The 21946-nt window shown below is 41.3% G+C and overlaps 1 protein-coding gene across 35 annotated transcripts in view, besides 3 other annotated features; it reads right to left on the bottom strand.

The window, feature by feature from the left end:
* The window catches only part of CDC14B (cell division cycle 14B), a 128905-nt gene that overhangs the window by 70324 nt on the left and 36635 nt on the right, over positions 1-21946 (bottom strand). For 14 of the 35 annotated variants that reach the window (XR_007061367.1, XR_007061366.1, XR_929864.4 and 11 more), the window contains exons 1-4: positions 5506-5714; positions 4131-4250; positions 3515-3590; positions 1431-1523 (exon numbers count right to left, since the gene is read on the bottom strand). Coding sequence is in view for 28 of the 35 variants with exons in the window: in XM_011519147.4 (XP_011517449.2) it covers positions 1431-1523; positions 3515-3590; positions 4131-4250; positions 5506-5567 (351 nt within the window). In the remaining 7 variants the exon portion in view is untranslated. Of the gene's footprint in view, positions 1-1430; positions 1524-3514; positions 3591-4130; positions 4251-5006; positions 5715-21946 lie in introns of those variants that run through there. The other 21 variants (NR_147239.2, XM_047423999.1, XM_017015248.3 and 18 more) reach the window with 6 other exon arrangements.
* Positions 5900-6059: a silencer, noted in NCBI's record as "silent region_20086". NCBI's record gives its function as "represses an Ori minimal core promoter by ATAC-STARR-seq in GM12878 lymphoblastoid cells {active_cell/tissue: GM12878}" and the evidence as "EXISTENCE:reporter gene assay evidence [ECO:0000049][PMID:35858748]".
* Positions 6070-6159: a silencer, noted in NCBI's record as "silent region_20087". NCBI's record gives its function as "represses an Ori minimal core promoter by ATAC-STARR-seq in GM12878 lymphoblastoid cells {active_cell/tissue: GM12878}" and the evidence as "EXISTENCE:reporter gene assay evidence [ECO:0000049][PMID:35858748]".
* Positions 7871-8071: a silencer, noted in NCBI's record as "peak7299 fragment used in MPRA reporter construct". NCBI's record gives its function as "represses an SCP1 promoter by STARR-seq MPRAs in K562 erythroleukemia cells {active_cell/tissue: K562}" and the evidence as "EXISTENCE:reporter gene assay evidence [ECO:0000049][PMID:32103011]".

Genomic DNA, 21946 nt, shown 5'->3' on the forward strand with positions numbered 1-21946 from the left:
TGCTGTTAATGATATACCTTATACATAAAAAAGAAAATTATTAAATCTTGAGGTACGATTTCAACTAATATCACCAACTTTTGGACTAGTCTTTGTAAATTCCAGATTATCAAACTATACTCCAGAAAATAATTTTAAAATGGTCCGGTAAGGCATGCCAGAGATAAGGAGCAAGCTAGAAGTGGGGAAGAAAGAACCTAAAGAGCTCCAAAAACAACCCTGTTTTTCTTTTTTGAGACGGAGTCTCGCTCTGTCGCCCAGGCTGGAGTGCAGTGGCGCGATCTCCGCTCACTGCAAGCTCCACCTCCCGGGTTCACGACGTTCTCTTCCCTCAGCCTCCCAAGTAGCTGGGACTACAGGCGCCCGCCACCACGCCCGGCTCATTTTTTGTATTTTTTTTTTTTTTAGTAGAGACAGGGTTTCACCATGTTAACCAGGATGGTCTCGATCTCCTGACCTCATGATCTGCCCGCCTCAGCCTCCCAAAGTGCTGGGATTACAGGCGTAAGCCACTGCGCCCGGCCAAAACAACCCTTTTTTTCAAGTCTCAGAGAGAATAACTATTACACTGATGGTGGGGTGGGGGTGGAAGAAACATCCCCTGGCTACTCCCCACTGAACAGCGTGGCCAGCTTTCTCACCACCAGACACAGGGGGTAGTACTCTGGAGGAGCTCTAAGCTGGCTCTGGAAAAATTGCAGCTTTCAGGGCCCCTGCAGACAAATCCACTGGGTGCCAAACAAAATGTGACTCTTCAAAAAATAAATCTTTTCCATCATATTTACAAATAAATGAAATTCACAACTCTTATGTAAATACTGCTATTCCAAAGTACATTTCCAATGATCCAAATGGAGCACTTGATGGCATATGTATGTAATCCGTGTGGTATGTAACCCATCTTCTGACAACACTGACATCCCGTGGCCTCCTGCTAGATGTTTTGATGAGAAAGGAGATGACCTTAATTAGGGGAAAAATGCCTAGATTCAAATTTTAGAAAGCACTTTTTAAAAAAATTTTTAGAAAATTAATAGTGGGGTCCTGACCCCAGTAAGATGATTTTACAACTCACTAAATGGATCACGAGTGAATAGAAATAGCTTTGGAGCACTATTTTCCAACCTTTAGTGCCATAAAACATAAACCTTTGCCAAAGTAGTTGGGCACTTTTTAAAAAAATATAGGCTTTTTTCCCGAGCAGTTTTAGGTTCACAGCAAAATTAAGTGGAAGGTACAGGAGATCTCTCATCTACCTGCTACTTCCACATAAGCACAGCTTCCTTGAATTGGTCAATTTTTTAAAAGCAAAACACGTTCTTTCTGAAGAGAAATCAAGACATTATCTTGATTTCAAAATTCCAACTGCAAATGTAAAGAACCACTGTTGTGTGCATTTTTATGAATACATTAGGAAAACAAATACTTACCATGTAGCATCCAACAAGGAAGGCAGCATTTGCTTGTTTTCTCTGATCAGAGCCAGTAAAATGAACAATTTTCTTCCTTAACATTGTAATGGACTGCATAAAAATAAATAACTGTTAGCATTTTCTTTTTAATTTCAAGTCTTCCACAATTTCATTTTGTGATGAAGATCAATTCCAAATCCCATAACCATTCATATTATTAGCAAGACCTTTGAAAAGATTAACATTGATACCCACAAATACCATATATCTTCCCATAAAAAGGCACATTCTGGGATGAGAATGAACATACAATTAGAGAAGAGGGGAGGGGACATGAATGGACACATGCTTAAAGCATGGGCTGCTTCTGAAAGAGCAAACCAAGAGTGGTAGAAAAGACCACCTTTCCTTCTGTTTGGTTTTTAAAGAAATCTGTCCCCAAAGCCTTTAAGTTAAAATAAAAAGGTATACAGAATCATCTACAGTGTTATAAGCCAGGGCAGTGAATAACCAGGGGAGGGGTGTGCAGAGACAGGAACTGGAAGACAGCATGGAGGGCTGCTATGGGGTGCCGCCAGTGCACTGCTCCTGACTGGTGATCAAGATAATCATCTATGTATATTCCATTAGTGAAAGTTTATTGAGCTCTACATCCATGATGTGTACATATTTCTATTTATATGTTAAAAAGTTTTCTGGTGGGTGCGGTGGCTCACGCCTGTAATCTCAGTACTTTAGGAGGCTGAGGCGGATGGATCACAAAGTCAGGAGTTCGAGACCAGCCTGACCAACATGGAGAAACTCCGTCTCTACTAAAAATACAAAACTAGCTGGGCGTGGTGGCACATGCCTGTAATCCCAGCTACTTGGGAGGCTGAGGCAGGAGAATCACTTGAACCAGGGGGGTGGAGGTTATAGTGAGCCCAGATTGCTCCACTGCACTCCAGCCTGGGCAACAAGAGCGAAACTCTGTCTCACGGGAAAAAAAAAAAAAAAAAAAAGGAAGAAGAAAAAAAGGACTGATACATTTTTGGTTGACCCAAAGACTAAAAGTCCACAGATGGTTGAGTACAGGAAAAAAATTTTTTTCCAAAATTAAAGCAAAGGAACAAATGTTGGAGGAAGAGAGAATTATTTTTAGCTTCCTAGTCCTGCATGAAACAAAAGATCTGCCACTGGCAACTGGAAAAAGGAGGGGGAACTCAAATGCACAAGGCCATAAATAGTTATATTCCTATTTAAGAAAGGCAAAAAAGAAGAGTCTCCAGCTCTGTAGCAATATAGCTTTCATGGTCAAGGAAAAACATCTGCCTTACCCATGAATTTTTAATTAAAGCATGTTAAAATTCTAATTAAAAATAAATTTTATTTCCTCTCTGTATTCAATTAAATTTTTTTTTTAAGTGCCTGTCCCAAAAAGCAGTATTTTCCAGTTGAGAATTTACAGTGACTGATTTGGAACTGCTAGTAAGCAGTACATACATAACTTCCTACCGTGCATGGCCAACAATTCAGTGTTTTACATACATGAATGTGGTCTAAGTTCAAACCAATACAAATATACTTGTGTAACTCTCAGTAATACAGCCTTAATGACATGCTTATTTGCCCTAGATTCTCACGCCCCTTAATCGTATGTATAAAGGATCATGTAGTACAGTATCATGGGAGTTTCAAAATAGGAGAGAAAGTAAGATGAGTCCAGCTTTCTTGTTAGTTTGCTATCACTCCCCATCAAAATGAAGGCAGAAAGAACAATGGCCACAGCAAGGGAAGAGTTTCTCTTGTTAAGTTTCAGTTCTATTAGGTCAGACAATACGAGGTTCACTTAATTAACTGATTCCCACTTTGGCTTTTCAAGTATTTGGGCATCACTAATTCAAACTAGAACCAAACGACCCAAACTTAAACTGTTCATTCAAAACTCTAGAAAACAAATAGATACACTATGATCTTATAAAACAAGAAAACCATGTGCATGTCCCAAACACCACTGCAGTGAAAAACATGTCATTTCCTTTTTAAAAAGAGATGTTTTCCTTACTTTCGTCCCCCAGATCAAGCTAACAATGATTACTTAAGTCAAATCTTAAAGACTTTACCTTTAATTTCTTATTGATCTTGCAACAATATCTGTAAACCATTGCCAGATTGAGTGGTCCAAAATCTGCGTAGAAGCTTTAAAAATGAAAAATAAAAATGTGATGTACATTCTAGATGCTCTGAATATAAATGCCTTTTTTGGGTCTACAAGATCAAATTAAGATAAGCAAGCATATACCAAATTGTTATGGGCCAATACAACTTAAAGGTACTGTTTTACTGGTGGAAGACTATTCTGGTAAATAATGCCTACTTAAAAATGCCACAAGTGCTATAATGCCTACATGTAACCTCAATGAACATGAACATACCTTCTAAATTAAAAAAGCTGTTTTTCCACACATATTTCCAAGGGCAAAACCACAATATCTTACTTAGTACACATTTATATCTCATTGTAGTGTAAATATTAGACTAGCAAATCTAAATGTTTAAATTTAGGGAGGTTTTTTTTTTTTTGCTCTAAAGGTTTATTTTATTACTACAGGTGAAAAACAAGCATCCTGTAATTAGCAATCAATAGATTTATAATTTTCCCAGGCCATCCCATTTATAACCATACCTTTAGATTCTTCAAAAACAAAAAGTTAAAATCTTTTAAAGAGCAATACTTACTTCTCATATTCAAGTTCATTATCTATGCTGAAATAATGTACATTTGATGCACTCTTTGGTCTGCTGTAGAGAATGGCAAAACAAAGGCGATCTGAAATGGAAAAATTGCAATGTTCCTTCCTGGAGGTTACAAAAAACGTTTCATATATCATGACACAACTCTTTTCAGATGAAGTCAATTTTTCATTTTTTTCATGCACGTTTCAGATGGTAGGAGTGGTAATGGGTAATTACAAAATATTCTGGCTATTTGGGTGGGAATAATCAATGAGCACATTTTTAAAAGAGAAACTGCCTTTAACCGTAAGTTTCAAAAGTGGTGATTTTTCATGTAGTGATATGACTTCTAAACAAACCTATTTTTGTAAAAGTTTAGCTCCCCTGGATCAAGACATTTCAGCAAATTGCAGCATGCATGTGATGGCTAGCATCAACCTTGTAAGTTTCTAGATGAATTTCACTACGTTTTTCAAGACATCCTAAAAAGTCATTTCAGTAAGAAACTATTTTTTTCTTAAAGGGAAAGAATGCTTTCAAAATTGCTTCAAAATTACCGCTTACAGCTATAGAACAAACCATATGTTTCTCCAACTGTTCTTAGGGATCACTACTTTCTAACTTGGAATCACTACTTCGGTATTTTTACAATTAGACAAATTACCATTAAAACAGAAGCAATGAGGTTTCTGCATGATGGGTCTGAGATGAACTTGTGTTGCATAAATGCAGTTAGGCTGCTGTGAGGTTAGCAAGAATGGTAATGAGTAGTAAGGCTCAGGAGGCTCCACCCGCATTCCTTGCCTAAAAATCCTCGGGTGAAATAAAGTCATCCACAATATCTAATAGTAATACTAGTGGTGCTAAGAAAATACTTACACTCACAACGTGGCAAAATCAAGCACAGCCTTTAAAATATATATACTTTCAGCAGAGCCAGCTGGCACCCTTTCCCCAAATGGTAAACTATTTTTTTTTTTTTTTTGATCTGCAATTCAACTCATGCAATTACTGCGTTTATTTCCTTGTAAACTCCTCAGCTAAAACTTCTTGCAACCACAAACACTCAAATGGGTGACAGGGCTTAATCCTTTCCAACCACAAGGACCTTTGATCCCTGTGACAGAGCCCAAGGATCTCGCTCCCGCGGGCGGGGAGGTGCAGCTCACCTACTAGGCTCAGGTGCAGGCACGCAAGGGTCACAGCCGCCCATGAGCGCTGTAGCCCAGAGCCTGGGGACAAGTGCCGAGGCCACCCACACGCAGGAGACAAGGGCGGCCGGGGCCCAGACTAGGGGCACCTCCAAGCCAGCACTGCCCGCCCTGTCCCAGCGCGGGTGCCGGAGCCCCCAGGGGAAGCCCCCGCCCTCCCGGCTCACCTTTGATCACCTCGGCTACCAAAGCTGCCCCCGCGCCCTCCCGGCTCATGACTCCAAAGCATCTGGAAGGCGGGGCAGAGGCAAGGACTGCCAGCCGCCGAGAGGGGAGGCGCCGCGACCACACCCCCGAAGTTTAAAAAACAAAGTTTAAAGGGCCGCGCGGGGCAGCGGGCGCAGCGACACCCCTCGGCGGCCCAACGGCCTGACACGACAGCGCAACCCCGGAAGTCCCCAAGTCCTGGAAAAAGCCCCGCGCGCGACGAGGCCGTGGGGACGGACAGCACCCCGCCCCACCTCCCGCTTTCTTTCCCCCCGCCTGGCCGCCCGCCTTCCTTCCCCAGCTGGGAACGCGGGGCGGCCTGTGCCAACCAGGGCTCCTCCAGTGCCCAAACGCTCCGCAGAGGGGACATGCGTCAGAGGCCAGCGGGCCTGCAGAGGGAAGAGTCTGGGAAAGCTCCTTAGCGATTAAAGGACTTCGAGCAAAAGGGCTCTGCCCCAGGCCAGGGACAGACCCGAGGGTGATGGCAGCCGGGGCAGGGGCCTCCTGGCGCCTCCCCCGCCGCACTCCTGCTGCCAGGAGGTGCTGCAGCCGCGCCAGGCCCGGGCCCCTGCAGTGCGCCCTCCCGGAGCAGGGCCCAGCCCCTTAGCTCTGCCAAGACCCGCCAAGTGCCCCCGCAGGGCCGGGTCTTATGGGAAACGGGCATCTTCAAAATCGTGCAAGATTTCCTGAGATCAGCTGCCTCAGAGAAAACGCTTTTAATTGTGCAAGATTTAAAGGCAACCCTCTGGTCATGCATTCCTTTAAAGGGACGGTTTGGGATGGTTTAAAAACAAAAATGTTGACACCCTTTTTAAACAACCATTTAAAATTATTGTAGAGATAGAGAGTAGAAGGATGGTTATCGGAGGCTGGGAAAGGTAGTGTGGGGGTAATGGGCACAAAAAAATAGTACAAATAAATAAGACTTATTATTTCACAGCACAATAGGGTGTGGGTGACTACAGTCCACAATAGCTTAATTGTACATTTAAAAATAACTAAAAGAGTACAACCGGAGTGTCTGTAACATAAAGGATAAATGCTTAAGGGGATGGATACCCCATTCTCCATGATGTGATTATTGTGCATTGCCTGCCTGTATCAAAACATCTCACGTACCCCATAAATATATATACCTACTTGTACCCATAAAAACATTAAATAAATTAAAATATATTCTAAACCTATGTTTGTATTTTAATCTCAAGTGAAAAAAATTGAAATCCCAGCATAAGCATGATCTCAGTTGTTATAGATAAGAAGGTGCTGGGATTGGGGTTCATTTTCATTCCCTCCTGTATTTTCCCAAGTTTTCTATAGAAAAGTGTTACTTTATACATACTTTTGCCTCAAAAGTAAACCTGCATACCTCCTAATCTTATTCTACAATTCCAGATGGATCAAAGACTTTTTAAAATACATTTTTTAAACCATGAATTCTTTTTTATACTCTCCAACTGGGGAAGACCTTGCTAAATGATACAAAATCTAAAAGCCATAAACACATTTTTAAGTAGTTTTCATGGCAAAAGATACATAAACGAAATCAAGAGATAAACTGGAAAAATATGTTAAATTCATTGAGAAGATACCTAACCTCAATTTGTTATCACAAAAGTAACAGAAATGCAAAGTTCCACTATGAGGTACTATTTTTTCCTCAGACTGGCAAAACTCAAGAGAGTTGGATAAGGTGCTGCAGTGTGTCGGGAGGTTGAGAGCACTCACATCCGTCACCTGTGGGTGGGAATATAAACTGGGCCACCTCCATGGAGCCAACAAATGGGAAGTTTGGGAGAAATGTTTAAGACTGAAAACTGAAAACTAGACAGACGTGGCGGCTCATGCCTGTAATCACAGCATTTTGGGAGGCCGAGGAGGATGGATCATCTGAGGTCAGGAGTTCGAGACTAGCCTGGCCAACATGGTGAAACCCTGACTCTACTAAAAATACAAAAAGTTAGCCAGTCGTGGTGGTGCATGCCTGTAATCCCAGCTACTTGGGAGGCTGAGACAGGAGAATCGTTTGAACCCGGGAGGTGGAGGTTGCAGTGAGCCAAGATCACGCCTTTGCACTCCAGCCTGGGCAACAAGTATGAAATTCCATCTCAAAAGAAAAAAAAAAAAGAAAACTGAAAACTAAAGATAGCCAAGATGGACTGTTAAGCGCTACCACTTCTATGTGTGAGTTTAAATCCTATATACACATGTATACGATTGTGGATGAAATCGTAGGTAGCAAGTCTGTGGAAGCAGCCACAAGAAACGTATCAATGCCTTCATAGTCGGTGTCTAGAAATAGGGAATAAGAGAGATTTATGCCTTTTTACAGCTTTTGCATTGTACGATGTATTACCTATTCAAAATTACACTGCTTCTAAAAAGTCAACTTGCAGGCTAACAGTGTTTTTCCAAAGCCGACTCTTGATCAAGATAGGAAGCATATAATGAGCACAGTATGAGGCAACCTGGAAAATATCCTTCGTATGCATTTAAACAAGGGAACTGGTTAGTAACAAGTTTTGGGTTCTACCTATCTCTTGAAATTCCAGTTTCTTTCAAAAAACCCAATTGAAACTAGAAAAGTAGCTAGATGGAAATGGGAAGAAATTTTCCCTCCCAGCCCAAACCTTAAGTTCAATTCCTTAAGGAGTATTTTATATATTACAGGTCGGGGGAAATCACTGATTTCTGATGTGCAATTATCTCTACATAATGCCAATATTTTATTGTTAGAGTAACACATCAATAAAGTACTACAGAGACTATGGTGCTGGGTTGAGGGCCATTTATTAGGAACCTGGAACCAGAAACAGGGCTCTTCTTTTTTTCTTTTTGATGGAGTCTCGCTCTGTTGCCCAGGCTGGAGTGCAGTGGTGCAGTCTTGGCTCACTGCAACCTCCACCTCCCAGGCTCAAGCGATTCTCCTGCCTCAGCCTCCCAAGTAGCTGGGATTACAGTCACATGCCGCCACTCCCAGCTAATTTTTAGTAAAGATGTCAAACTCCTGACCTCAAGTGATCCACCGCCTCGGCCTCCCAATGTGCTGGGATTGTAGGCATGAGCCACCGCGCCTGGCCGAAACAGGGCTCTTTACAAAGTTTGCTTAAAGCTTGACGATTAACTTTATAATCCTGTTAAAAATCCATGTATCCCCCCATTGATGTTTCTGTTGTCAGAAACAGAAAGCAGCAGTCATCTTTTTGCCTATACATCCCTGTCGCACCACATCATCACTACTTCTTCTTTGAGTAACATGATATAGGAGAAAGAAACAAAATCTCATGATTTAAAAATGTTAATAAAAATATTTAAAATCCATCCTTGGGCCTAATTTGTCTGTAGGTCTGATTTGACTTTTGGGCCTCCAGGTTGACTACCTCTTCCTTTAGCAAATATCTGTTAAATTTGAAATGAAAAACATTTTCCTGGATAACAGCTATAGGTATTTGGGGATAATTAACCATAAAACATAGAAATATGTAGGAGTCGGTGGGAATTATAATACCGTATGTGCTTGTTAATAGGAAAGATTTGAAGAACCCTATTTGGACCTAGAGACACTTTGTATTTCCCCCTTGAACTGGGTGTATGGCCTTCACAGGTCCTGGCAGAGCCAATGGAGAAATGGACAGCTTCCCTACAGCTAGGGGAAGTCAACCTCTGCTGAGTTCACCACAGACAGGCAGAAAGGAGATTTTACATGCTAGGGAGCAGGAGAGAACAGGCTCCACCTGAACAGATTGTCCCTCAGAGACAGGACCATAGACATCAGGCTGTCATCTGTATTAGCCACTTGTTTTTTGAGGGTAGGAAAGAACACGGGGAGCAGAGGAAGAACTGTTCATCAAAGTACTGATTAACAAAGAAGCGGCAGCAGCATTACCCACTCAAATGACAATGATAACCAACGATGATGGAGAGTTTAGTGTCGCGTATTGTATTCAGCTCATTATACCCTGTGAGGTTAGCACTACCAGGGTCAACTAGCTCTAAGGAGGTGGAGTGACTAACCTGCACAAGGTCACAAAGCTGCTGGGAAGTGGCAGAATTGGGATTTGAACACAGGCTATTGGATCTGAAGCGTAAGATTAAGTCCCAGCCTCAAAGACTTGCCCAAATATAAATCAACAGTAATTAAAACAATAGGATTTTAGCACAGCAACGTACAATCTGGACCCAGAGATATATGAACACTTACAAGAAAACTGATTATTTCAATTCAGTAACAAAGAAGGCCTTATCCAATATACGGCAGGTGTTAACATATATGAAAAGAAAATGAGATGCTAATATCACATATTTATAAAACACAGATGAAATGATTTTGAAAAAGCTGTCAGACAACTATAAAATTATAACGAAAAAAAAATTTTTTTTTTTTTTTGAGACGGAGTCTCGCTCTGTTGTCAGGCTGGAGTGCAGTGGCGCAATCTCAGCTCACTGCAACCTCTGCTTCCTGGGTTCAAGCGATTCTCCTGCCTCAGCCTCCCGAGTAGCTGGGACTACAGGCGTGTGCCACCACACCTGGCTAATTTTTGTATTTTTAGTACAGATGGGGTTTCATCATGTTGGCCAGGATGGTCTCAATCTCCTGACCTCGTGATCCGCCCGCCTCGGCCTCCCAGAGTTTTGGGATTACAGGGGTGAGCCACCTCGCCTGGGCTATAATGAATAATTTTATAATTTAACACACAGAATTTTAAAGTGTGACAAAAAACAAGTCACAAAGGGAAAAACTAGGAGAGACTTGGGGGAAAAGACCTATAATAAAAGTTAATTATCACAACAGATAAAATGTCTCTCCAAAGCAATATCACAATCTGTGATATTATAATTATATACTTATTGGTTTTCATCCACAGTTCCTAGCTCCCAACTCCCATAAGTTTTGTTACAACATCTTGTTATATGCTGGGCGCTGTGGACCTCAGAAAGCCGGCCTTGGGAAACAGAGTCTCTTTGATGTTTTCCTGCTCTCCTTTCCCCAACCCAAGGCAGGGCTCTAATATGACTGTGAGCTGTAAGACCCTCATTCCACAAAGCATCCCACCCCATACCCTGGAGGAAGGAATGCTGCCCAGAGAGGCTGGAAGAATCTGAACAGACAGGCCTTGCTGGGTGTAGATTATACCCTTTTTGTCCAATCATATTTCAACACACTTGTCCATCCTTCAGTCATGGACAAGCAATGAAATCTCCACTAGAGGCCCAAAGGACAGGGTTCAGAGGGCTCCTGGAGAGCTGAACCACGGAGGCTGACAGGATGGTGAGTGAGAACTCATCCACATGCCCGGAGGGTGGTGCACCCCAACTCCACGGTGTCAGAAGCTCCTGCATTTGGGACCCTTCCAGACCTCACCCTGCGCATCTCTTCCTGTGGCTGTTTATCTGTATCCTTTAAAATAGCCTTCATAATAAACTAGTAAGTGAGTTTCCCCGATTCCTCCAGCAAATTAATTGAACCCAAACAGGGGATACCGGGAACCCCAACTTGAAGCCAGTCAGTCAGAAGTTGCTGAGGCCCGGACTTGTGACTTGTGGGAAGGAGGGGGTGGTCTTGGGGACTGAGCCCTCAACCTGCTATCTCCAGGTAGATGGTGTCAGAATTGAATAGGAGGACACCCAACTGGTGTCTGCCACAGAAATCCACACATATTACAGAGGTCTTTTGTGTTGATAATTGCTGTGTTGATGTGACAGCAGAGGAAAAACAGTTTGAGTTTTTCCCTAACACAACCTAAGAGATAAAAAATCTAGGAAGGCTATGAACACTCAATTCAGAAAAGAAATACAAATGGTCAATAGCATATGAAAAGAAAATTAATCTTATTCAACATAAAAAAAAGCCTATCAACATGAACAGATTACAGGAAAAAGTCACACGATTATCTCATTAAAAACAGAGAAGGAAGTCATTAAAATCAACACTCATTTCCAATTAAGTCTTTGCACAATGGAGCTAAAAGAGAACTTCCTTAAGCTGATAAAGACTGTTCCAACAGCCAATATCACACTTTATGCCTTAACTTTGGAAGCATCCTTATAAAATAAAAAGCAAGAAAAAATTCCCACTATCATTACCTCTTTTTAACAATGTAGTAAGTGGAAGTGCTAGCTGATATCAAGATACAGAAAGGAAATCAGAGAAAACTGGAAAGGAAGAATCAAAACTGTCCTTGTTTGCAGATGACTGTCTACTAAAAAATACAGACACGAAGCCAGGCGTGGTGGCTTATGCCTGTAATCCCAGCACTTTGGGAGGCCGAGGCGGGTGGATCACCTGAGGTCAGGAGTTCAAGACCAGCACTACCAAAATGGTGAAACAGCATCTCTACTAAAAATACAAAAAATTAGCTGGGTATGGGTGGCCCGCGCCTGTAATCCCAGCTACTTGGGAGGCTGAGGCAGGAGAATCACTTGAACCTGGCAAGCAGAGGTTGCCGTGAGCCCAGATCATGCCACTCAACTCCAGCCTGGGTGACCAAGTAAGACTGTCTCAAAACAAAACAAAAAAAATACAGATGAGAATCGGCAGATAAACTACTCAAATAAATAATAAAGTTTTGCAATGTTTCTAGATACAGAAGATTAATACACAAAAACCAATAGCTTTTCTATCTACTTGTAATAAGCAATTACGAAATGTAATAGAAAAAAAAAAGATGTGCATATCCCTTATGGATAAATGGAGAAATAAAGCAGGTTTATCAACAGGAAGACTCAATATCATAAAGATAGTAATTTCCCTCAAAAGAAATGCAATTCGAATCAAAATCTCAACAGGTCTTTTCATGAAACCTGACATGTTAATACATGTAAATTACATGCTAATAAAGGAATTAAATGTAATAAATTTACATGTTACATGTAATAAACTACATGAAACCTGACATGCTAATACATGTAAATTGCATGCTGATGTATGAATTAAATGTAATAAATTTACATGTTACATGTAATAAATTACATGGAATATGACATGTTAATACATGTAAATTAATCCAGAAGATCACAGGACCAAGAAGAACAAAAAACATTGTGAAAAAAAACAAGAAGGCCGGGTGCAGTGGCTCATGCCTGTAATCCCAGCACTTTGGGAGGCCGAGGTGGGCGGATCACGAGGTCAGGAGATGGAGACCATCCTGGCTAACGTGGTGAAACCCTGTCTCTACTAAAAATACAAAAACTTAGCCGGGCATGGTGGCGGGCACCCGTAGCCCCAGCTACTCGGGAGGCTGAGGCAGGAAAATGGTGTGAACCCGGGAGGCGGAGCTGGCAGTACGCCGAGATCGCACCACTGAACTCCAGCTTGGGTGACAGAGTGAGACTCCATCTCAAAAAAAAAAAAAGACCAAGAAGGGGGCTCCTGTTCTATCACATATTAAAACTTAGAAGAATTTAGGCAGTATTGGCACAGTGTACTATTGGCACAGATATAATAGGCAAAGATGAGAGCCACATATAAATGAAAACATCTCATATGACATTAGGGACATTACAAATCAATGGGAGAAGAATATTCAATACACGTGGGACAACTTGTTGTCCATGTTTTTGGGTGTGGGGGAGGGAAGAAATTTGATCCCTATCTCATACCATACACCACTACACACCAAAGACAAAAAAATACCTCAAGTGGATTAAAAACCTAGATATAAGAAGAAAAGCTTTAAAAGTTTTATAAGAATATATAGGAAAATAACTCATATTAGTGAAACAGGGATGGATTTCTTTTTTACTCAAAACAAAAAAGACCCAAACTGTAAAGCAAAAGATTGAGAAACTTGATTACATAAAGATTTAGTGTTTCAATACAAAAATTAGCTGGGAGCCGAGATTGCGCCATTGCACTCCAGCCTGGGCAACAAGAGCGAAACTCGGTCTCACAAAAAAAAAAAAAAAAAAAAAAGATTTAATGTTTCTGTTTAACACAGGAGCCCAGAAACAAAATTTAAAAAGATAACTCACAGAATAGGAGAAGATAGACACAATGTATAAAACCAATAAAGTGTCAGTATTTAGAATTTACAAAGCACCATACATCAAAGAGAAAAAAGCTAACACCCCAATAAATACGTGAGCACAGAGTGAGATAAGAAATGCACAAGATGAAGAAGCCTAACTATCCTTCCTGCTCCTCTTTTTCAGACTGACCAAACCTACAATTAGGATGGTTCTGGTTCACTCTATACCCTATGATGAATTGAGTTTATTCGTCAGAATAAGCTGTGACAACAAATAACCCTGAAATCTTAGTGATGTGATTTACAACGGATGTTTATTTCTTGCCGGTGCTACATGTCCTCCGGAGATAAGAGGGTGGAGGAGGCACTATTCTACACAATCACCCATGGATCCGGGGTGTTGAAGGCTCTACCCATTTGCAGACACACTGTCTAGAATCTGTCCTTGTGGTTGTCCGATGTGCCAGTGGCTGCTTGCGCAAGTAATTCCAGTTGCCTTCGGATCTAAATGCCCACACAGATAAACCAAGCCTGGTAATTTTAATCTTTGTCTGTTTGACTCCTGTGTTTCTCAATCAGCTGGTCTGGAACTAAGGTAGAAAAAAGTAATCTTATCTACAGAAGCCCTGGACATCTCCCCCAACATTGTTAGTCTCCATACTCATTTGTATCTCTGAAATACTTTGTAAGTTCTTTTTTTAAGGGAGGCACTAGAAGAACTATATAAGTTTTCATACTTTCCAAATCACTACAGCAAGAGAGAAAATGACACTAAGAAAATTGAGCAAGCCACCCAATAGCAAGAAGATATATTAAGGCAAACAAAACAGAATAAGATGGTGGGAATAAGTCCAAACATATGAGTTATAATTTTAAAATGCAAAAAAAATCACCTGTTAAAAGACAAGATTTTCAAAATGAGTTTAAAAAATTCAAGCTAGGCTGGGCTCACATAATCCCAGCATTTTGGGAGGCTAAGGCAAGAGGATCCCCTGAATGCAGGAGTTCAAGACCAACCTGGACAAGAAAGTGAGATACCATCTCTATCAAAAACAAACCAAAAAACCCCAAAAAGTCCTCAAGCTATATGTTTAATAAAGACAATAAAAACAAAGCCTTACAGAAAAAACTGAAATGAAAGGATAGACAAAGGTATGCTATGCAGTTGCTAGGAAAAAAGAAAGTAGCAATATTAACATCAGATAAAACAGAATTCACAGGCTGGGCTTGGCGGCTCGCGCCTGTAATCCCAGCACTTTGGGAGGCTGAGGCGGGTGGATCACCTGAGGTCAAGAGTTTGAGACCAGCCTGGCCAACATGGTGAAACCTCGTCTAAATACTAAAAACAAAAAAATTAAGCTGGGCATGGTGGCGGGCACCTGTAATCCCAGCTACTTGGGGAGGGTGAGGCAGAAGAATTGCTTGAACCCAGGAGACGGAGGTTGCAGTGAGCCGAGATCATGCCACTGCACTCCAGCCTGTGCAACAGAGCAAAAACTCCATCTCAAAAAAAAAGAATTCACAATAAAAAGCAATTAAAAGACAAAGGTGTTTAATGTTTAAAGATATATAATCACCAGGCAAGGTCGCTCATGCCTGTAATCCCAGCACTTTGGGAGGCTGAGGCAGGTGGATCACTTGAGGTCAGGAGTTTGAGACCAGCCTGACCAACATCACAAAACCCCTTCTCTACTAAAAATACAAAAATTAGCTGGCACGGTGGCCATGGGTACCTGTAATCCCAGATACTCAGGAAGCTGAGGCAGGAGAATTGCTTGAACCCAGGATGCAGAGACTGCAGGGAGCTGAGATCAAGCCACTGCACTCCAGCCAGGGCGACAGAGCGAGACTCCATCTCAAAAAAAAAAAAAAAAAAAAAGATATAATTTACCAAAAAAATTATAACCATCACACATAACAGATTTTAAATCTATCAAGCAAAAACAAGTGAAAATAGGAGTAATTAGTACATCCATAATCATAGAAGACTAAACACACTTCAAAAAAATGAAATAAGGAATTAGTGGCATGACCCAATAGATAGAACTGTTTTCAATATAGAACACAAAAACTTTTCAAATAGGGTATTCAGTTGTCATGTGTTAGGTCACAAGGAGATCTCAACAAATTCTGGAAAGCAGAAACCATACACATAGACCATGTTCAATGACTACAATACAATAAAAGAAATGTTTTGGCGGGGCACAGTGGCTCACGCTTGTAATCCCAACACTTTGGGAGGCCGAGGTGGGTGGATCACTAGAGGTCAGGAGTTCGAGACCAGCCTGGCCAACATGGTAAAACCCCATCTCTACTAAAAATATAAAATGAGCCGGCGTGGTGGCATGTGCCTGTAATCCCGGTTTCTCGGGAGTCTGAGGCAGGAGAATTGCTTGAACCTGGGAGGTGTAAGTTGCAGTGAGCAGAGATCACACCACTGCACTCCAGCCTGGGTGACAGAGCGAGACTCCATCTCAAAAAAAAAAAAAAAAGTTTTGATGAAAAGATCATAAAAAAATCTATCAATCTATCAATATGGAAACACTTAAAACCCATTTCTAAATAACTTGCAATAATGGGACATTAAAAGAAAACTCAACATAAATTAATGTCAGTAAGAATTCTTATTTAAATCTACGGAATGTAGTCAAACAAAAATCTGAAGAAAATGATTTGCCTAAAAATGTCTCCCTCTATCACACCATTTTTCAAAAAAAATTAATTATTTCTGGATTAAAAAGTTGAACATAATAATTCTGGCTCTCCACATCCCAGGCCATGGTGGGACTGCTTGTGCTGACTGCTTTGTGGTTAAGTGAACAGAGGTGAGAATGCCACTCCCAGGCCAGACCACTAATCCATGGTGCCAAGACCCCACCGAACTCTCCCTCTATCCTGCAGCATTTAAGATTACAGCGGCAGTACAACCATTTTAGAAAGCTGACAGTATTTACATACAAAAAATAAACATAGCACATCTTCTGACTTAGTAATTCCAGTTCTAGATTTACATACAACAGAAATTCATACATATGTTCACCAAGAAAGGTATTTTTTAAAAGCTCATAGAATCATTATTTATAATAGGCAAACACTGAAAACAGCCCAAATGGGAACTTACTTACAATGGAATATTATATGGCAATGAGAGTGCCTGAGGCTACAGCCACACACATCACAAACAATGCTCACAAACATTTAGTGAAAGAAGCTGGAAGAAAAACAGAGTAAATACAGCATGATTCCATTTATGTAGATTTGAAAACCAAATTTACAGAACACACTATAAAAATATCTTTTAAGAAAAGGGGGTGGGAGAAGAGTGTGATACTGGAGCCAACCTGAAAAACTGCAATAGTCAAATAAAGAACAATTTGAGCAACAACGTAAGTATATAATATTGGATTTTAATCCAAAGTGTAAAGTAATATGCATGAATCCATACTGTCATAAATAAGTGATTGAGTAAGTAAATGGAGAGGAGACAAATCTTCCTCATAGAACAATTCCAAATTATACACATGTAGCTACTTCTCTCCAAGAAGTGATGCTTAACCCCTCCTTAGTCCCCTTTGAGTGTGGACTGGACTTAGGTGACTTGTTTCGAAGAATACAGTGTGGAAAGGGAAAAATAGTAACTTTACAGAAGAAAAACTTAGCAAACACTATTTTAACCAAATGCTCGTGACTAACCCGTGATGTCGTGTGGATTTCATGTACCTCTGACAAGATGTGATAGAAGGGCACTTCACCTTCTGTGGTATTCATGCCAAAAATCCAGTCTAGTCATGAGGAAAACAAGCACAAGCAGACATACCCAATTTGAGGCACATTCTACAAAATAGCTGACCCATTCTCCTCAAAACTGTCAAGATCATGAAAAACAAGGAAAGACTGAGAAACTTTCACAGACCTTAGGTGACTAGGCAGATGACAACTAAATGCAATGTGGATTGAATTTCAGAATAGAGAAAGGTTAATGGGAAAGCTGGTGAAATCCCAATAAAGTCTGCAGTATAATTAATAATAACACATCAGTATTGGTTTCTTTTTCTTTTCTTTGAGACGGAGTCTCACTCTGTTGCCCAGGCTGGAGTGCAATGCCGCGATCTCGGCTCACTGCAACCTCTGCCTCCTGGTTCCAGTGATTCTCCTGCCTCAGCCTCCCAAGTAGCTGGGATTACAGGCATGTGCCACCAAGCCCGGCTAATTTTTCTATTTTTAGTAGAGACAGGGTTTCACCATGTTGGCCAGGCTGGTCTCGAACTCTTGACTTCAGGTGATCCTCCCGCCTTGGCCTCCCAAAGTGCTGGGATTACAGGCATGAGCCACCGCACCCAGCCCAGTGTTGGTTTCTTAAAGTGCCACAGTAATGTAAGATGATGTTATGGACTGAATTGTGTCCCTAAAATTCTTATGTTGAAGCCTTGACCCCCAACGTGACTACAGGGAATAGGGCCTTTAAGGAAGAAATCAAGGTTAAATGAGGTCATACAGGTGGGACTGATATCCTTATAAGATGAGAGATACAGGCCAGGCGCAGTGGCTCACGCCTGTAATCCCAGCACTTTGGGAAGCCAAGGCGGGTAGATCACAAGGTCAAGAGATTAAGACCATCCTGGCTAACACAGTGAAACCCCGTCTCTACCAAAAATACAAAAAATTAGCCTGCATGATGGCGAGTGCCTGTAATCCCAGCTACTCAGGAGGCTGAGGCAGGAGAACGGCCTGAACCCGGGAGGCGGAGCTTGCAGTGAGCCAAAATCACGCAATGCACTCCAGCCTGGGTGACAGAGCAAGACTCTGTCTCAAAAAAAAAAAAAAAGGGAGATACCAGAGCACTCTCTCCCACTGAATGCACACAGGAAAGGTCACGTGGAGGTACAGGGAGAAGGCGGCAGTCTGCAAGCCAAGGACAGAGGCCTCAGCAGAAGCCAACCCCGCTGGCTCCTTGTTCTTGGCCTTCCTAAGCTCCAGAATTGTAACAAAATACATTTCTGTTGTCTACACCACGCAGACTATGCATAGCGTATTCTGTCACAGCAGCCCTAGATGACGAAGACAGATGACAACACTAGAGAAAAGTGAAACTGTGAGGCGGACAGAGGAATGCTCTACTATTTTTATCTTTTCTGTAACTCTAAAAGTTTTTTTTTTAAAGCAATTGACTAGGAGAAACTATTTGTAGCTTATATAACAAGGACTATATATAAATAAAAAACTATTTCTATGAAAATCTTAAAATTACACACAGTCCGATGAAAATAATCATATATTAAAAAGGCAAACCAGAAAAATAAATACAGATGACCAAAATCCATGTGACATATTTGGCCTAATTAGTAATTAGAAAAATGAAAATTACAAAATAATGAAATTTCATTTCATGCCATCCAGTTGGAAAAAAATTAAAATACTGATAGCAATCCTAGGGAAAGGTTGTGGGGAGAGTGCCACTTTTTTTTTTTTTTGAGACGGAGTTTCGCTCTTTTTTTTGCCCAGGTTGGAGTGCAATGGCCCAATCTCAGCTCACCGCAACCTCCGCCTCCCAGGTTCAAGCGATTCTCCTGCCTCAGCCTCCCGAGTAGCTGGGATTACAAGCATGCACCACCACGCCCGGCTAATTTTGTGTTTTTAGTAGAGATGGGGTTTCTCCATGTTAATCAGGCTTGTCTTGAATTCCCCACCTCAGGTGATCTGCCCACCTCGGCCTCTGAAAGTGCTGGGATTACAGGCGCGAGCCACTGCGCCCGGCTAGATTGCTACTTTTATACAAAGAAGGTGGACTGTAAATTGATGGGGGCGTTCTGGAGGGCAATCTGGCAGTATCTGTTATGCATGTAACCGGTAACCCAGCCAATCCCTCTATTGAAATCGACCCGAGAGAAATACTGGCATAGGAGTACTAAGAAGCAATGGACAGGTGTTCACTATAGCAGTGTCTGCAGTAAGACTAAATGGAAATAATTGTCATTAATATGGGAATAATTAAACCATGGCAATCATACTATCACTTAAAGTTAATAAAGTAGATCAATATGTAATCTTTCCACAGTCATACAAAGATCAACTAAGTATTTAAAAAACCTAATTGCATGATATATGTAAACAGAATAAATCAAAACTAAGCCTTATTTCTAAGGTAAATTTATATGTATAAAAATAAACAGATTTAAGCTCGGTGCGGTGGCTCATGCCTGTCATCCCAGCACTTCGGGAGGCAGAGGCGGGTGGATCACAAGGTCTGGAGTTCAAGACCAGCCTGACCAACATAGTGAAACCCTGTCTCTACTAAAAATACAAAAATTAGCCAGGCATGGTGGCGCGCGCCTGTAATCCCAGCTACTCAGGAGGCTGAGGCAGGAGAATCGCTTGAACCCAGGAGGTGGAGGTTGAGGTGAGCTGCGATTGCACCACTGCACTCCAGCCTGGGCAATAAGAGGGAGACTCTGTCTCAAAAAAGAAAAACAAAATTAACAGATTTGTATCCAATGAAGCACAAAGAAGAAAATAAATAAATAATCTTCTAAAATAAAGATAAACAGAGGGCCAGACACAGCGGCTCATGCCTATAGTCCCAGCTACTTGGGAGGCTGAGGCAGGAGGATCACTTGAGCCCAGGAGGTTGAGGCCACAGTGTGTTATGATTGCAGTACTGCACTCCAGCCTGGGCGATAGAGACCTCGTCTCTAAAAAAATTAAATTAATTAATTAAATTAATTAAATTTAAAAAATTAATTTAAAAATTAAAAAATTAAAAAAAGACAACAGAAAAATGCCCCTCCCAAAGAGTTACAGTGGTTACCAAGGAGATGGCCACTGTAAAGAGTTACAGTGGTTATCAAGGATTTGGGGGCAGGGAAGGAAGTATTTACTTTTTGAGTATTAGGTGGGTTTGAACGTGTTGGTGTTAGTCCATAAGTGAAAATATATTCCTCTGGGGAGTGAGGGAAGGATGAGGAGGAAGCCTTTCATCTTTCACAGTTATGTCCCCCTTAACCTTGGTGTCCTCTGCATCCCTGTTCAGTGTGGTCAAACAACAGCTATTTCCTGCCAGGACAAGATCCACCGTCCCAGCACAGATATAAGGTTAAATACAGCATTGGTAGCTAGTGCTCTGAAATGGAAAGATGCGATAACAACTCCAGCTAGTTGCCTTTCATCATCATCCTTCCTTATCCTAGTTTATCCCCTGCAGCCCTGGGCTGGAGACACAAAGCTGACTCCCAGTGCGCTTCATGGTGAGAACCAAGGGACGGCTCCATCAGCTAGCTCTCTGCTTCTCCTCCTGTTTTACGACAAAGGGCCCTGAAACTTAAGTCACTGGAAAAAACCTCTCCAGCCCCCGTCCCACATGCTGTCAATGTGACACTGTAAAAAGTAAAGTAGAGGTTCCTCTTCAAAGACTTTCCTCCCCGTCCAATTAGGAATAAATAGTAACTTTTCTTAGAAGCAAAATTTATCCAAAGACCTATGCTAACATTCTTAAATATCTGCTAACCATAATAAAAAAATCAATATACTTTATGTTCTTAGCTCCCACAATTTAGCCTAAATATTTGCCCTGGCATGCTTATACTGGTCCAAGCAAGCATTAGGTCATAGCCTGTTCCTCTTTAAAGTGTTTTTACCTTTCTCAGCATTTCACAAGTTACTTCCTCCTTCCTTTGTTCCACTCTACCTCTGCCTCTTTTAAAAAGTTCTAAGTTGCTAGTCAACTGGGACAAATACAGAATGTAAGGTACGGTTCCAGTCAATGGAAACTGGACACAGCAGTAGGGTGGATGCGTCAAGTTATAAATGACCCTGTCTCCTTTGTTTGGTGTACTTTCGTGACAAAACTGCTGGCGAGTGTACCCTTTCTGCAGGAAGTAAAAAAGGCCTTACTAAAAAAATTAAATGTATGTTCAAGTGCTATTTCTTTATGGCACTGAGGAACAAACATTTCAAACAACACAAAAGCAAAATCAGAGTTCAAGACCTTAGTTTCCTGTGTCACTGGATGCTGTATAATTAAACTCTCATCTGAGACTTTTACCAGATTTACTAATTAAATTGATCAGGATAGAGAATGGACTATCCAGATGAATTCCTCTTACTAATTTTATATAATGGGCCTGGGTTGTTTATTTACTTTAACTGCAGGGACAAGGATAAAACATATATGATTGGTTTAAGCTACAACAGGGAGCCGATCGGGCAGATCTGGTGGCAGTTGCTCTAATCAGAAACTTACACTCCAGAGACGGATGGCCATTATTAAAGCAGGGAGTCACATTCCAGAAATAATACAGTAGCTCTTCTGTTACGCATACCTCTGGAAAATTTATAATTCAAATACTGGGCATCAAAAATATTTTTATTGGTAAAATTAGTGGCATGTTCATCAGAATAATCCCTGTAAGAAATGGGCTCTCATTGGTGAAATTAGTGA

Source organism: Homo sapiens, chromosome 9 (genome assembly GCF_000001405.40).
Source record: "Homo sapiens chromosome 9, GRCh38.p14 Primary Assembly".
Taxonomy (NCBI): Eukaryota; Metazoa; Chordata; class Mammalia; order Primates; family Hominidae; genus Homo; species Homo sapiens.